This window comes from Homo sapiens, chromosome 8, assembly GCF_000001405.40.
Source record: "Homo sapiens chromosome 8, GRCh38.p14 Primary Assembly".
In the NCBI taxonomy this organism is placed as follows: Eukaryota; Metazoa; Chordata; class Mammalia; order Primates; family Hominidae; genus Homo; species Homo sapiens.
In genome coordinates, this window is record NC_000008.11 from 125,160,024 (window position 1) to 125,176,032 (window position 16,009).

The 16,009-nt window shown below is 39.0% G+C and overlaps 1 protein-coding gene across 16 annotated transcripts in view, besides 2 other annotated features; it reads left to right on the forward strand.

Annotated features, from left to right (window-relative positions):
* Positions 1–16,009, forward strand: part of NSMCE2 (NSE2 SUMO ligase component of SMC5/6 complex) — a 275,261-nt gene that overhangs the window by 68,164 nt on the left and 191,088 nt on the right. The gene's annotated exons all lie outside the window — the stretch shown is intronic.
* Positions 6,909–7,158: an enhancer, noted in NCBI's record as "active region_27902". NCBI's record gives its function as "activates an Ori minimal core promoter by ATAC-STARR-seq in GM12878 lymphoblastoid cells {active_cell/tissue: GM12878}" and the evidence as "EXISTENCE:reporter gene assay evidence [ECO:0000049][PMID:35858748]".
* Positions 7,179–7,228: an enhancer, noted in NCBI's record as "active region_27903". NCBI's record gives its function as "activates an Ori minimal core promoter by ATAC-STARR-seq in GM12878 lymphoblastoid cells {active_cell/tissue: GM12878}" and the evidence as "EXISTENCE:reporter gene assay evidence [ECO:0000049][PMID:35858748]".

Here is a 16,009-nt window from a genome sequence, read left to right on the forward strand (position 1 = left end):
CCTCTTGACATATGTACACAAATAGCTACAAAAAAATTTTAACGGTGAAATAGTTTGACAGAGACAATAAAAACGTGCATAGGAAATTCAGAGTAAGGGAAAAGAGTCTTTGCTTAAATTCTGGCTTTCATGCACTCTAACTCTGAGCCTCAGTTTCTTCTGAAAGTAGGGATGATAATTTAGGTCACAGAGTTTCATTAAGGATGAAAGTGATAGCATGAAAGCACCTAAAACAGTTCTGTCACACTAATTTATAAGGTTGCCTAGAACGTTCTGTAAAGAACTCATTTCTCTGGACCAAATTCAAATACTGTCTGAAAGGGAATTTCAAGTTAAAGTTTGGAGAGTAGAGTGGGCAGCAGGAAACCATCGGGAAAGGCTAGAGATGATGTTCCGAGATAGGCTGAAGGAAGGGCCTCTTTCCTCGGAAGGGGTTGGGGGTGGCTTGGGGTATGGAAGTTAGTGCTCATAGTCAGTGTTGTGACCAGAAAGGATTGTTCAGAATCAGGGGAACTGGGCCAATGCAGAGGCCAGTGAACAATGTGACATTTGGCCAGCTGCATTTGAACTTCCCTGATAGTCACCCTCCCTATGTCTATAACAATGAAAAAGATACCGCACCCTTTAATATGTGATCATTAATAGTGATGAGGGGGTCATTCTAGAGATAAGAACCAGACAACAAGTAAACATTCACAGTTTTTAATTCAGGAATAACTTTCAGTGTTTTCTTAGACATTTTATTTAAATGAAGACTGAGGAAATTCAGCCCTAAAATGTATTTCTCTCTGTGTACGAGTACACAATCATGCTGTTTATTAAACTATCTTGCTTACATCTTTAAGTATTTTTTATTTACTTTATTAGTAACACTTATTTGAAAAAGTAATTGGGAGAGAAAAATGTGTTGGATTTATGCCTCTGATGTATCACATGCAGGTTGTCAGCTCTGGTTCAAGTGTGTAATCTCTATACATTGCTGACAAGCGAGAGAACGAGAAGGATATAAATGGAGAGTATGTGAATGGATTTTATTTTTTCAAGCCCCTGTGTGAGTTTGCAACTGTGCTGGTAAGGAAAAGTTCTTTCATTGTGCAGTGGAGCCAGTGCCCAGTGAACTGTCCTTGGGAGAATGGAGAGGATTTCTTTCCATTGTTTCTCTCTCACAGCATCAAGTTTCTGGTAATGGTGGCACTTTCCTTCTTTTGTGTTGTGGCCAGTGTGATATTTAAACCACTAAAGCTTTAAGAATTTTATTTTTTTCTGGACTTCCTTTTTTAAAAAAAAAGTCTAATAATACAGCACTCTTTAGTGAAAATCATTATGTTTATTTATCTTGGGTTAGAGTAATGCAGTCAGTTATGAATAGTTTTAAATTTAATGATCTCTTTTATCCTTTATTTCATCTTCAAATTATCATTTAGTCATCTTCTTGTGGAAGCTGATATTCAGAAAGATCAAGTCAGTATTACTTAAAATTGGAAACAGTAAAGGCTGGGTGTGGTGGCTCACACCTGTAATTCCAGCACTTTGGGAGGCTGAGGCGGTTGGATCATCTGAGGCCAGGAGTTCGAGACCAGCCTGGCCAACATGGTGAAACGCCACCTCTACTAAAATATAAAAATTAGCCAGGTGTGGTGGTACATGCCTGTAATCCCAGCTACTCGGGAGGCTGAGACATGAGAATCGCTTGAACCCAGGAGGGTTGCAGTGAGCCAAGATTGCACCACTGCACTCCAGCTTGGGTGCCAGAGTGAGACAATGTCTCAAAAAAAAAAAAAAAATCGGAAACGGTAACCAGAAATAGTAGAATATGATTGCACCACAGGATTGATTTCCAGACATTCTGACTTGCTTGCTTTTTACCTTACCCTTGGCTGATACCTGCAAGGTCTCACATGCTTCTCTGCCTGCCTTCCAGTTGCCTCGGCTATTTGTGGTTCTTGGAGTGCTGTTGGTACCACGAAGCAAGTCCTCTCTACCCATCAGGTCACTTTCTGTCACCCTGAGGTTTATTTTAGCCCCCTATATGGAACAGAAGCCCACATGAAATACTAAATAGGAACTTTAAGTGGAATAAATTCTGGGTGTGCTCAAAGAGTTCTTCTCTTGCAAAATCAGAAATTGAATTTGACACATGAAGTATAGTTAGGCCATGTTTTGAAAAGCTGCAGCAATACTTCTCAGGAAGTTGGTAAAAAAAATTTTAATTGTTTGAAAATTAAAAGCTTCAGCAAAAACATCATATGCTCAATTTTCTCTTGGAAGAAATTCTTGTTACTGCTTAAAGCACCTATAAATAATGTAGGTGAAACTGAACATGTTATACTACATGTTTTATAATAGTAATGGAACTGCTCTCAGAATGTAGAATTAAACCGTTTTGGCTTTATAATGTAAAGTGTCATATATGGTCCTGTTACAATCGTAAATTTTCCAGTGTTAGAGTTAAATTTAATTAATGATTTTTTTTTTCTGTGCCTGCCCACTGAATAGCTGTGTGGCCATAAGCAATTTTCATAGGCTCTATGCTCGCTTGCAAAATCAGCTTAGTAATAATATCTGCCCCTCCTATCTAGTGATTTCTTGATTAAAAAAATGAGATAACATTATGTGAAAGTACTTGGGAGGTAAGAGTGCTATATAAGGGCAAGGTCTTACTGTTCTGTCCTGTTAACTTTTTACTTCTTTCTCTTACCACAAAAACACCTACCACAGGCTGATTTAAATTGGTGAACTCCTCTAAACCACCTAAACTTGGAATAAATGGCGATAAACTTTCCTTATATTTATTTTCCCAACTCACAGCTTAAACTGGAAGGAAAAAGTGTATAAGATTCACATTTACCTTTTGACTTTAGTCATCTTTTTCATAAAGGTTTATTCCTGTCTACCATCCTGCCCCCTCAGAATTTTGCATAAATCTCATATAACAGTTCAACAAGTGACTGGTGTAGACTGGGCCTGCTTTGTCACTGAGTCACTTTATTATGAAATACTTAAAGTTGAATATCTGTATATAGCAATGAAGAAAGAATGTTAAACAGTTTATACTTTCTAAGGCCAGGCTTGGTGGCTCACACTTGTAATCCCAACACTTTGGGAGGCCGAGGTGGGAGGATCGCTTGAGCCCAGGAGGTTGAGACCAGCCTGGGCAACACGGAAAAACCCTGACTCTACAAAAAAATTAAAAAATGAAAGTAAATAAACAATTCAAAAATTTATACTTTCTGATCTGATGGTTTTCATGACTAACTCATCAGACAGCAATGAAAAGTGAAATTAATAAAAATTCACAAAGCCAGATATAATTAGTTAAAAATAAAGTCTGAATAAGCCGTAATCATCTTTACTTCCCTCTTCCCATTTTGTAAGCAGTTGGTATTTGATTGATAAGCATGTCCAGCTGGGAAATAAAGATCTGGCTTCTAATCCATGTTCTACCAGGCTGTGACCTTGGACAAGTCACGTAACTTCTGTATTTCAGCTTCCTCATTTCTAAAATGGGGTAATAATAGTACTTGGCCTACATACCTCATTGGGCAATTGTAGATAAAACGAGATTGTAGATAGGAATGTTTTGACTACCCCCCTGCCCCACAAAATTGAAAGGTGGTTATATAGTTACCACATACAGTCCTCATCTGACAACCCATATCTGAATGGCCACAAGACTGAAGAGTGAAAGAAACTTCCTGATTCTACCAACAAGAATGGGAAGGGAGTCCCTGTTAGCTCTTAGAGGAGGAAAGATACATTCCCAGTGCTTAGATCTCTGAATCAAATTCTGGAACACAGTTTCCCACAGAAATGACAGTCAGTGGTTGTGTTTCTGGCTAGCCAATAAAAAAGGAAAAAAGAGGTTTAACCATAAATAGTTCATTGTGATCCAATTTCTATAAAGCTGTTAACAAAGCCCACTTGTAGTATGAATATTAGCTTGGAGTTTGTTTCAAGTATGTTGGAGGCCTTAGCCCAGGTCTGGATAAGATAATGAATCCACCTCTCTTCTAGCTTCCCCACTTATTTAATATTTGCACAGGGCTTACTTAAGCCAGATTTGTAAGTATCATCAGTTCATACTCCAGTCTCCTGGCCCTTTGACTGAAATTCTGAAACCAACATTCTTTCCCTCAGTGAAAGGGTGAGAAGCCCTTTCAGGTCCCCAATCCCTTTAATAAGCACAGTGACCTTACAAAGTTAGGAAAGGTGGCTATTGTTGACTCTGAGCCTCAAGAAGGTTAAGGGACTTGCGCAGATCACTTGGTTAGTCTCAAGAGGTGAGACTTGAACCTCAGTGTTTTGACATGTAATTCAAGGCTGTTTTCATGACAGTTCTGTTTCAAGATGGATGCTATTCATTGAATTCACTTTGAGTTGTAGTTTTCAGTTGAGAGTAAGAATGTTTTTAGGGAGTCTTGGTTATAAAGTATATTTATGATTTTGTACATCTCTTATTGTAAATTTTCCAAAGGTAAAGTTTTGGGAAATTTAGTCAAAACAAAAAGTGACTCCCCACACTGATGTGGCGTGTGTTAGAGAGGGATTCTATTAGAATTAAGGAACTATTTGAAGCAAAGAATACTGTTATATGTAACGGTTATATTAAAAATAAGAAAAACTTTTGAAGAGCCAGTATTATTTACTTCTTTAAAACTTTGTGTTATATTTTTGAAGTGGTAGTGGTGTGAATATGAAGGAATTTTAGGAATTTAAAGTAAAATAAAAATGAAATAAACTTTTTTCTAGTTTTAATGATATGGTTTATGTTTATATTTATTAAAATATTCAGTTCTTACCATAATAATAGCAAGCCTAGCTAACATGTCTCCAGTGCTTGTTATGAGCCAGGCAGTATTCAGTTATCTCCGGTTGAATAATTGTTTTCTTCTTGCCAGGTTAGCCTACAGATTTGTTCATGATCAATTCTTAGAAGTAGTGAGGGATAAGTCTCCATGATAGAAGACAGTGATAAGGTCTGTATGTGGCATTACATGGGACATGTAAAAATGTTTCACTGAATAGTGAAAAGGATACTGCAATTGGAGTCAGAAGACCTAGCCTCCTCCTTGTTCCTCCCTGGCCTAACAGTGTGACACTGGGTTAGTGACTTGTCTTCATAAACCTTCGATTTCCTTATCTGTAAAAAGAGAACAGTGATACCTCATAGGGCTGTGGCAAGGATTAAATGAGATAACTTAGGTAAAGTACTTAATTTATGCCTTCAAAAGATGAGGCCTCATGTAGCAGGCATTCAGAAAATATTAATTGCCTCTTTTCATCTTCATGCACAAGGTAGTTGTGAAATTAAATTGGAAAACAATATGAAAGCTGGTTTAAAAACATTTAAATGTCGTTCTAATATAAGATGGTATTTTCCAATGAGTGGTGCCTTCTTCAGCACTTTCAGAGTAAAATATATGGGAGAATTAAGGAAACTGGATTATAACTAGAAAATCTGGATTTTACTGGGTGGCCATCACATCTGGAAACAGTGGTTTAATGATATTATCTTACAGTGCAACATGTAATAGTATTATCTATTTGCAGACTTGGCCACACTGTAGTCTCAGTTCCATCACCTATTGTTTGGCTTGGAGAAGTAATTTAATCTCTCTAATCACTGAGAATCAAAATTATATACATTATCTTCAGAAGTATTCTATATGTTAGGAAGCATCTAAGTGTGGTTTTTATTTTGTTTATTGTTCTAATTTTTCTATAATACAGCAGTTTTTTGATTAGACTTGTGATGGATAGAATTCATTTTCACTTAGTCAGAAAATCTTTCTAAATAGAGGAGAATTAGAAGGCAAAAGGCAATTTGATAGGTGTGCTAGTGGGAAGTAACTTCAAATCTCAGGGAGCCATATTAATTATAGAGAAAGCAGTGCCAGAGAATTTGATAGGCTGCTAGATGGGAGTGAACAGAGCAGGTAAAGGATAAAGAGCATTAATAAACTGATGGAGTATTAATAATTTCATAATCTTTATTGTGTTGGGTGAGATGTGATAACAGGGAAAAGATTCAGCCTCATATCCTTGGATTGCCCTCATTCTGGGCTGTGGACATGTGGTATAGTGTAAAGACAAGGGATTTGAAATCAGACTTACTATTTATTAGAAAAGTCATGGCACTTTGGAAATTAATTAATTCATGGATTTGAAAAAATGTTACGATCTCAAAATAGATGTTTTTGCTTATCTTTTCAGTTACTGTAGTCATACTAAATAGGTTTTGTTGTTGTTGTTGTTTTATTTTGAGACAGAGTCTCGCTCTGTCACCAGGCTGGAGTGCAGTGGCGCGATCTCAGCTTACTGCAACCTCTGCCTCCCAGGTTCAAGAGATTCTTGCGCCTCAGCCTCCCAAGTAGCTGGGATTTCAAGTGCGTACCACCACACCTGGCTAATTTTTATATTTTTAGTAGAGATGGGGATTCATCATGTTGACCAGGCTGGCCTCAAACTCCTGACTTCAAGCGATCTCCCCGCTTTGGCCTCCCAAAGTGCTGGGATTACAGGTGTGAGCCACCGCGCCTGGCCCTAAATAGATTTTTTAAAATGGATGCTTAGCAAGAACAGAAGGAAGAAAACAATTCACATTTTCCTGTCTTTCTGGTGAATTAGTTCTTTGATTCTTAAGATCCTCTAGTTGTGGAGGGTATGACCAGAGGACCCAGGGAAGACACTTCTGCTACCATCTAGTTGGGGTACTCCCCAGTGGTCCCAGCTATGGAAGACTGGTCTTCCTGGTTTAGAGTGCCTCAATAAGAAAGGACTTCCATGAGACTTAGCACTATTCCATCTCCATTCTCCTCCGAAGTCTTTTACGTTCCTCAGGATAGATAACTCAAAGTTGGCCAGGCCTGGTGGCATGCACCTGTAGTCCTAGCTACTCATGAGGCCAAGGCAGGAGTATAAGGATGCAGGGAGTTATAAAGGTGCCACTGCACTCCAGCCTGGGTGACAGAGTAAGATGTCTCATAAAAAGAGCACCACGTATGTGGATTCCTCCTCCACTGTCTCCCACCTCATCTCCCCTCCACATGTACTCTCACACAAAGACTGGAGCAAGGCAGACTTCTTTCACTTTCACTGTGCCTTTAGTAGCTAACTGTTTCGATTCTAGTGCAAGATGGCTCTTTACCACCAGATAAGCTTTGGTATGACCAACCACTACTGAGTTGTGTAGTAAAGCGAGGTTTATCTAAATATGTAGAAGAAAGTTGAGATTCTCATTAGTTAGAAATTTGATTGCTCGAAATCTTGAATTTGATGTAAAACAGAATAAGCAGTTAGGGAAGGGAACATAATATAGGCTTTGTGTATTGAGAGTTGCATTAAAAGAATTGCAAAGTCAAGGCCCGGCATGGTGGTTTATGCCTGTAATCCCAGGACTTTGGGAGGCTGAGGCGGGCGGATCATGAGGTCAGCAGATTGAGACCCTCCTGGCCAACATGGTGAAACCCCATCTCTACTAAAAATACAAAAATTAGCTGGGTTCGGGAGGCTGAGGCACGAGAATCACTTGAACCCAGGAGGCGTAGGTTGCAGTGAGCTGAGATCGTGCTACTGCACTCCAGCCTGGCAACTGAGCAAGACTCAGTCTCAAAAAAAAAATTGCAAAGTCAATCCTAAGGCAAAGAGGCTATGGAAGAAATTATGCTAAAGGGATGGGAATAGTTTAGGCTAGACTTGGGGGGAAAAATCAGTGGAATTCTTTTTTTTTTTCTTGTAAGATTTTTTTTTTTTATTTTAGGAAACATGTTTTCTACATTAGAAATGCAAGCATTGGGGGAAGTTTTCTCAGTTCCACATGCTGTGATGTCTTTGAGGAGGTGAGGACAGGAAAGGGTAGACAGAACTTTAATCCTTGATAGGAAAATATATGTTGAGTGCCATCTGGGAAACTTCTCTCTGACTCATTTTGTCAATGTTGGAACCAAGCTGAAAGTCAGTTTGGTTGTTCAAAGGTCTCCTTAATCATACAGTTCGGGTATTTCATTTGATAAACATTACCTGGCTTATCATTTCAAAACCTGTTGGAAGAATTTTTGAAATCACTAATCGATGGGTTTAATTTCTATGAAAGATTTTATTTTTTTTTGTGGACTACTTATGAGTTTAAGCTGCCTCTTCCTAAGAGCATAATGTCTATATCACAAGCTCATGAAGATTGTAGTGAATGGCAGCGAAACACTGTTCTTTGTATAAATGCTGAGATGTGCTTAAATAGATTCCATTGACAAGCTCTTGGAAGTTTCTGTGTTATAAGCTGCATTTAGAAGGAGTGAGAAAGGAAACACTGGGAGGAGGATGGAAGAAAAGGAAGAAGACTGTCTAGAGTCTTTTCTGCCAGTTGCCCTTTCTCAAAGACAAATGGACATTTGTCTTGGTTCATTTGGCCTACTGTAATGGAATACCATAAACCAGTAGCTTATGAACAACAGACATGTATTTCTCACAGTTCTGGAGTCTGGGAAATCTATGATGAAGGTGCTGGCATGTTCAGCATCTGGTGAGGGCCTAGTTTCTGGTTCTTAGTGGCACCTTCTGGCTATATCCTCACAAGATGGAATGAGCAAACAAGCTCTCTGGGGCCTCTTTTATGATGGCACAAGTCCCATTAATGAGGGCTTTGCCCTCGTGCTCTAATCTCTTCCCAGAGGCCTCACCTCCTAATACCATCACCTTAAGGGTTAGGATTTCATCATATGAATTTGGAGGGCACACAGGCTTTCAGACTATAGGTATAGTTTGGTGCTTTTCAACGCTTGTTCTTTTTGTTACTTTGGCCTGCCTGTCTGACAAACAGAAGATATGTGGTAATAAGAATGAAGCCTATTTGTAGTGCCTAGTATGTCTAACACTGTTTGAGGTGCTTTATACACATTACCATGTATTCTCAACCAGGGTATAGTAGATAATAACAGCATTTTTGTGTAGATGAGGAAGCTAGGGCTTGCAGTTATGTGACTCACCCAGGGTTACACACCTAGTAACAAATCCAGAGAATATTGTTCAGTTGTTCTCTTATTTGACCTCTCTGCTATTGACAACTGTTCCTTCCTTCCTGAATTTTTATTTTCCCCTGACTTTCATGACAACACATCTGTTTTTTCTTCTAGCTTCTGGTCACTCCTCCATAATCTCTTTGGTAGATCCTACTTCATCTCTTCACTCAGTAAAGCCTGCTATTCCTACCCGTTCTTCGATTTTCTTTCTCACACTGCATACTCTTCCTGAGAAATAGCATCTATGCTCATAACTTGAATTGCTGTCTTTATGCTGCTGAGTCCCAGATCTTTATTTCCATTCTAGATTTCTCATCTTAGAACCACACACATAAACTTAATGATAGATTTGACATTCTCTACTTAAATGTGCTATAGGCTCCTTAAATTCAGTGTCCCACAGTGACGTTTTCCCCATGATTTTCTCCTGGGATTCTGTAACTTCGTAAATGGTAATATCATCCACCCAGTTTCTCCTATCAGAAATCTGTTGTCGTCCTTACTTCCCCTACTTAGCTCTTCACATTTTACATTCCATCTCCAAATTTTCCTGCTTCTCAAATTAATTCACCTACCTCCATTCCCATGTTCACAGTCTTCAGTCCCCTTGGGCACACTGGCTGCACACAGTTGCTGTCTTCTCCTATATTTCTTATCTGGTAGCCCACGAGATCTTTCTAAAGTGAACATTTGATTTTTTTTTTCCTGCCTTTTCCATAACTTTACCTTCTTCAGTTTTTCCTTGTTACTTTCAGCTTTAAGCTCAAATTTCTTTACATGGTGTACACCCCTCCTTACCTCTCTAGTCTCATTTTGTACTATTCTTTTACACTAGCTCTTTGAATGTTCTCTTGCCTCTGGCCTTAGCACACACTATCTACTGGGAGTGCTTTTTTTTTTTCATTTCCAAATAGCTGACTCTTTCTTACTCTCCACAGACTGAGGCTAGCTCCTTTCTTACAGCCTGCTCTGATATCATCCCATCTCTGTTTGCCAAGTGGATTACTCTCATGTGCTCTCATAACATCATGAAGTTAATCATTTTTCATAGCATTTGTAGCTGTAACCTAGTCCTCTCTCCAAAACCACATCTCAGACATATAACTGTCTTCTCTTCATTTTCACTTTATTTCATTCTCATAGGCATTGCACATTTAACCTTCCAAAACTAAACTCTTGTTTTTCTCCAAAACCAGCTGTTCCTCCTGACTTCCCCATCTTAGAAAATGGCAGTATTACTATTCCATTTTTAATTAGACCAAAATCCAGAGTTGTCCTTTGTTCCTTAATTTTTTCACAGCCCATATCCAGTCCATCAATAAACCTTACTCTTTATTTCTTTTTTTTTTTTTTTTTTTTTTTTTTTTTTTTTTTTTTTAAGACAGAGTCTCGCTCTCTTGGCCTCTTGGGCAGGCTGGAGTGCAAATGGCGCTGTCTCGGCTCACTGCAAACTCCACCTCCCGGGTTCAGGAGATTCTCCTGCCTCAGCCTCCTGAGTAGCTGGGATTTACAGGCATGTGCCACCATGCCCGACTAACTTTTGTGTTTTTAGAAGTGATGGGGTTTCACCATGTTGGCCAGGCTGGTCTCGAACTCCTGACCTCAGGTGATCCACCCGGCTTGGCCTCCCAAAGTGCTGGGATTACAGGCGTGAGCCACCGCACCCAGCCAACCTTATTATTTCTACCTACAACATGTATTTAGAGTCTAACCACCTCTCACTGTTTCTCCTACTGTCACCCTAATCCATGCCATCATCACTTTTTACCTGGATGCCTGCAGCAGCCTACTGACTGCTCTCCTGCTTCTGCTCCTCCTCCCCTAAAGTGGTTCTCATCCTCACAGCCAGAATGACCCTTTTAAAAAGAAAATCAGAGGTTTTTACTACTCTGTGCAAAACCTTCACACATCTCTCTCAGAATAAAAGCTAAAGCCCTCCGTCATCTGTCCCACTTCGCACCCTGCTTTGATTAATACTACTGACCTCATCCCCTGTTACTTCCCAAACCCTTTTTACTGTGACTCCAACTATATGGCTCACCCCCTCATTTTCTTTAGGTCTCTGGTTCAGATGTCGTCTTTTCATTGAAGCCTGCCTTGACCGTCCATCACAGAAGAGCTCACTCATTTCCACTCTGCTCAATTGTTCTCCATGGCACTTATACCATTTAGCTAGTTACGTATTTTCTTATTATTCTTCTACTCAAGTAGAATACAAACTCCACAAGGGCAGGAACTGGTTCTCTTGACTGCTGTGTTCCCAGCTCCTGGAGCAGTGTGTGGCCTCTAATAGGCTCTAAGTAAATAGTTGAAGTCTAGGGTTAGTAGTATGTCATGGACTTAGCGATATAACAGACCTGCTAATGCAGTCAGTCCTAGCTCCAATACTGAGCTCTTCAACCCCTTGTAATTAGACCGCTCCTCAGCTTCAGTTCCTAATCAATAGCATAGGATGTATTCATTCTTACCTATAATGTTATTTGTTTGGGGGAGGGTTAAATAAAATAAACAGTATGAAGTGCTTACCTCAGTACCTTGCCAATAATAAATAGTTGAGAGCAGCTGCTGCTACTAATACTGCTGCTAATTCTGATCAGATTACAGCATTTAAATTGCTTCTGACTTGTTCATCTCTTCTACCAGATTTTGTCTGGCTACATCTTAAACTTGCTATAATAATAATAATAACAACAATGTGACCATAAGAATACCAGTAATAATAATAGCAGCTGTGATCATTTGAGTGCTTACCAAGTACTAGAGAGTATTCTCTAAGTCAGCACTTCCCAGTGCCTCTTCCTGCAGTGATGGAAACGTTCTATATCTGCTCTGTCCAGAGTGGTGTGGTAGTCACTAGCCACATGCAGAGAGAGCTCTTGAGCACTTGGCAGTGTGACCGAGGAACTCAGTGTTTAATTTTATTTAATTTTAATTAATTTAGATTTTAATGACCATGTTGGCTACTGTATTTTAAAACTCTAAATTCTTTACCTACATTAATTCATTTAATACTCAAAGGTTAAGTAGATTATAGATGAAGAAATTGATTGTCTGAGTGGTGAAGAAACTTGCCCAAGATTACACAGCTAATACAAGGCAGAACTGGGATTTAAAGGTTAAAGACCTAGATAATCTGGTTCCAGGGTCTGTTGCCAGCCACCCTCTGTGCTGCACCTCCCTCGTGTCATTCTCAAGAATTAAAGTCTTACAGGCAAAGGACTGAGGTGGCATATCTGTATTCTTGCTGCAGGGAAAGCTGAGAGAATTTCTGGTTCTTACTGCAGTGCAATATCACTCCTAAAGTGAGAAATTCCCAGATTTAGGATAAATGTTCAAACAGTTCTAGACAGGTAAGCTTGGCTACTCAACCTCTGTGTACACTTTTTTCCAAGACTTAAATTTACAAATATAGTGGCAGCAACAACAAAATGTTTCCTCCTAAGGTGTTGCAGCTATTTTTCTAAAAGCGAAAAATATGCTCTCCCCCTCCCCAAAAGGGGGAATGATACATCTTACCAGGTACCGTTTCCAGCTTGAAGTCCAAGATATCTGAGCTGAGCTTATTCCTTTTGTTAAGGTTGCCTTATGTCGCTCTACAACTAGTGAGCCAGCAACTTATTTTTATAAAACATTAGGAGAAAAAGAGAAGGGGAAATTGGTTAAAAACATAAATATGTTTATGTCAGACCAAAAAATAAATATGAATAGATACTTTAGTCTTAGCTTTTGCTATTGGTTCTGAATCCAAAGTTGGTATTTTTAATTCCCTTCCTCCACTACTCATTCCATGTTCTTTTTGCCCTCAGCCAGCTCTCAGCTAATTGTAGATTTTTATCTGTAGATTTTTATCTGACTGACGTTTATCTGACAACACTTTAGACTGTCATTCACAGGGGTGAGGAAGGAGGCTTTGAGTTGTTGGTGGTCCTGCCTATATGGAGTTATTTCTATCTTCCATTATCTTTCACCGCTAGATGTGGTCAAACCAACAGGTGTTCCAGGTTCCAGACACACACCTCCCTTCTCTCATCCTGTTGCAACAATCTTCTTTACCCTTGATAATCAAGATTCATTAACACAACCAATTCTGTCACCTCCCTTTTTGTCCCTGTTCTGTGTCATGAGGAGTTCAGAATTGCTAGGTTGCAGTTTAAGCTTCCAAATCAGTGGAGGTATTGTTGAGTCCCTTGGTGAAATCATTCTTCACTTGGGTGCTGAGACTGTTAAACCAGCAGAACCAGAGTCGCAGTGATGGGGGAATTGCAAGTTGGTCATTAGGTGTGATGAGGGGGAGGAGAAGATGTGTAACTAATTCTGCTTCTGTCCCTTGGTTACTGGGCCCTGTATTATGGCTGTGGGAGAAACAATGTTTTGTATTATTCACTGGTTCTGAGCATCTTGGGAGACACCACCCTATCTAATTTTATTTGGAACTGAATCTTCAGAAGATGATTTCAGCATTCTGAAAGATGATCTTCTAGATGATAGGGTATGTGGTAAGAAGAGCAATCCATTAGCATCATACCATCATTGTACTCTTTCACTGTTAAATCTTGAGTGAGATACCATGGTGATGAATGAGGCATTCAGTCATTCTGTGGATGGCAGAGGTATGGTGGACAGGAAAGGCAGTTTCATATTCAGAATATGTGTCTTTTCATATGAAGACTGACAAGTGACCACTGAAAGTTAGGATGTATGTCTGAAATCATGTATGTTTTCATAAAATTAAATCTATTCTGTGTTGTTACTTGGAGGCACAAGCAAAGTAAAACATTTAAGGTGAACGGGGGTTTGAGTAAGTTGAAACTGGCTGACACTGACTCACTATGACCTTGGGCAAGATGCTGAACTACTGCGAGCTGCCTATTCCTCATATCTGTGAAATTGGGATAATGATATTTTTGTGTATATAAGGCTTTGAACCACTCAGACGAAAGGTGCTGTGTAAGTGCAAAGTGTTGTTAACAACAATACTGATAATCCTCATTTCACCTTGCCCTCAGTATGACCTGTGTTTAAATTGAGCACTGTTAAAAAGATTGCCTGTGAAATGGTATCCTGTATAGTTATGTTGCTGTATGTTCTCCCAGCACTTGATATATTTCCTTCCCAACACTTTTTATAGTTTGCAATAATCTGCTTGATTATTTGAATATTTGTTTCCCCCACTAGATCCAAAAACCTCTGAGCACAATGGGGACCACTTTTGTCTGTTTGTTATAATATCTCCAAGGCCTAGCATGGTTCCCACATGTGGTAGATGTTCAGTAAATATTTACTGAATGAATAAATGAATAAATAAATAATGCATGTTTCTGTGAATTTCTGCCAAAACAACACAAAAAGCCAGAGATGTAAAATCAGTTTCGTTTCTTTTCCACCAGTACGGGAATTCTAATGCTGTATTCTGTGTAAATAAATCATTCCGGTTGGTCATCGTATTATAGTGGGCATGGTGCCATGGGAAATTTATTGGAGTAATTTTTAACAGCCTAAATGTTTAGTAACAGATGCACATAGATGGCAGGTTGCCTCATTCAGCTTCCATCTGTTAGACAACTGTCTATTCTAATAAGACTGGTCTATTCAAACTAGACAAATAACATTCTTACCCATGTTTAAGCTTATTCATTTTCACAATTTTTCCGAAAGGCTCGAAGGAGGAAAGGTGTTTCCATGTTTGGTTGGCTGCTACTTAATAGTAGTGTATTACAACACCTTGGCAAACCGTGAAGTCCACTTGATGTGTCGTAATGCTCAACAAGGAAGTATTCTCTCTTAAGTGTTTTGTCAAAAGTCAAAACCATGCTAAATAATGGCACTAGGAAACACACTCAGCTACAGATAATTTGGTCCAATAGAGTTCAGTGTAGGTTGTGCAACTGGCAACAGAAACTGGCATGAGATGAAGGGGTATAATCCATGCTGGTCATCATTAGTATGTGTGATTTTTAAATAGGACAGAGGCAATATACTAAACTCTAGAAAATATAGTGTGTCCATATGTACATGCAGTTAGGTTATACCCAGTGAAAGCATGATGATTCTCAGCTTGGGCATGCCTTTTAAGAACAACTTTACCAAGTTTTTTTTTGCTATATAAAGGTGGAGACAGTGTTGGCCTATATAAATTTACCCTGTGCATGACGAATTGGGTTGGTGGTGTGTCATTAAGTGTGGGCCAACTTCCTTAAATGTCTTGGTGCTTAGCATAATGCCTGGCACCCAACTGGGACTCAGTAATTATTTGTTGAATGAATGTTCTAGGATCAGTTGAGGCAATTCCCTCTGGATTTCTAGCATGAAAGCAGTCCCATAACCTTAGATCACTATGAATTAAAACTTGGAATAAAAAGTTGGCATACTTAGAGTACTAGTACTAAGCAGAACACAAAGCAAACTGCTTATCACTAGTATGTGTCTGTGATAAACTTCTGAAGGCTGTGTCATTTCCTAAATGTAAATCACTGGGTATGTGTTATTTTGGGAGGCAGACATCTAACAATGGCTGTTTTGGAGAAAGTCAATCTATCTGGGTCTTGGTTCAGTTACAGGAATGACTAATTTTATACTAGATTCTCACATGATTCAAAAAGTGTGTGAATGACTCAGCTCATTAATATCCTTAGCTCCTGTGATCTCCCCTCCCAGTGAAACGATGGTTATAAGGCAATAATGATAATTGGAAGAGGAGGAGACTTTGACTTTGCCCCGTGGCAATAAAATGACACACTTTAAGTAATTACATGTGCATACAATATTGTTTGAAAGAAATGAGTTATATTATCATCATATAAATACATTTAATATTTGTGTTAAAATATGGTGAAAATAATATGTAGTTTCAGCGTGGATGAGGACTGAGTTCTGCTTTTTGTTTCTACCATTATCTTTTTTCCTGAAACAACAAGCCTCTATATGGACAGAGCCATTTGGAGCCCTAACTTAGTTCCTAACAGTCAACTCATTGATTACCTTCTCCTTGCTGACAT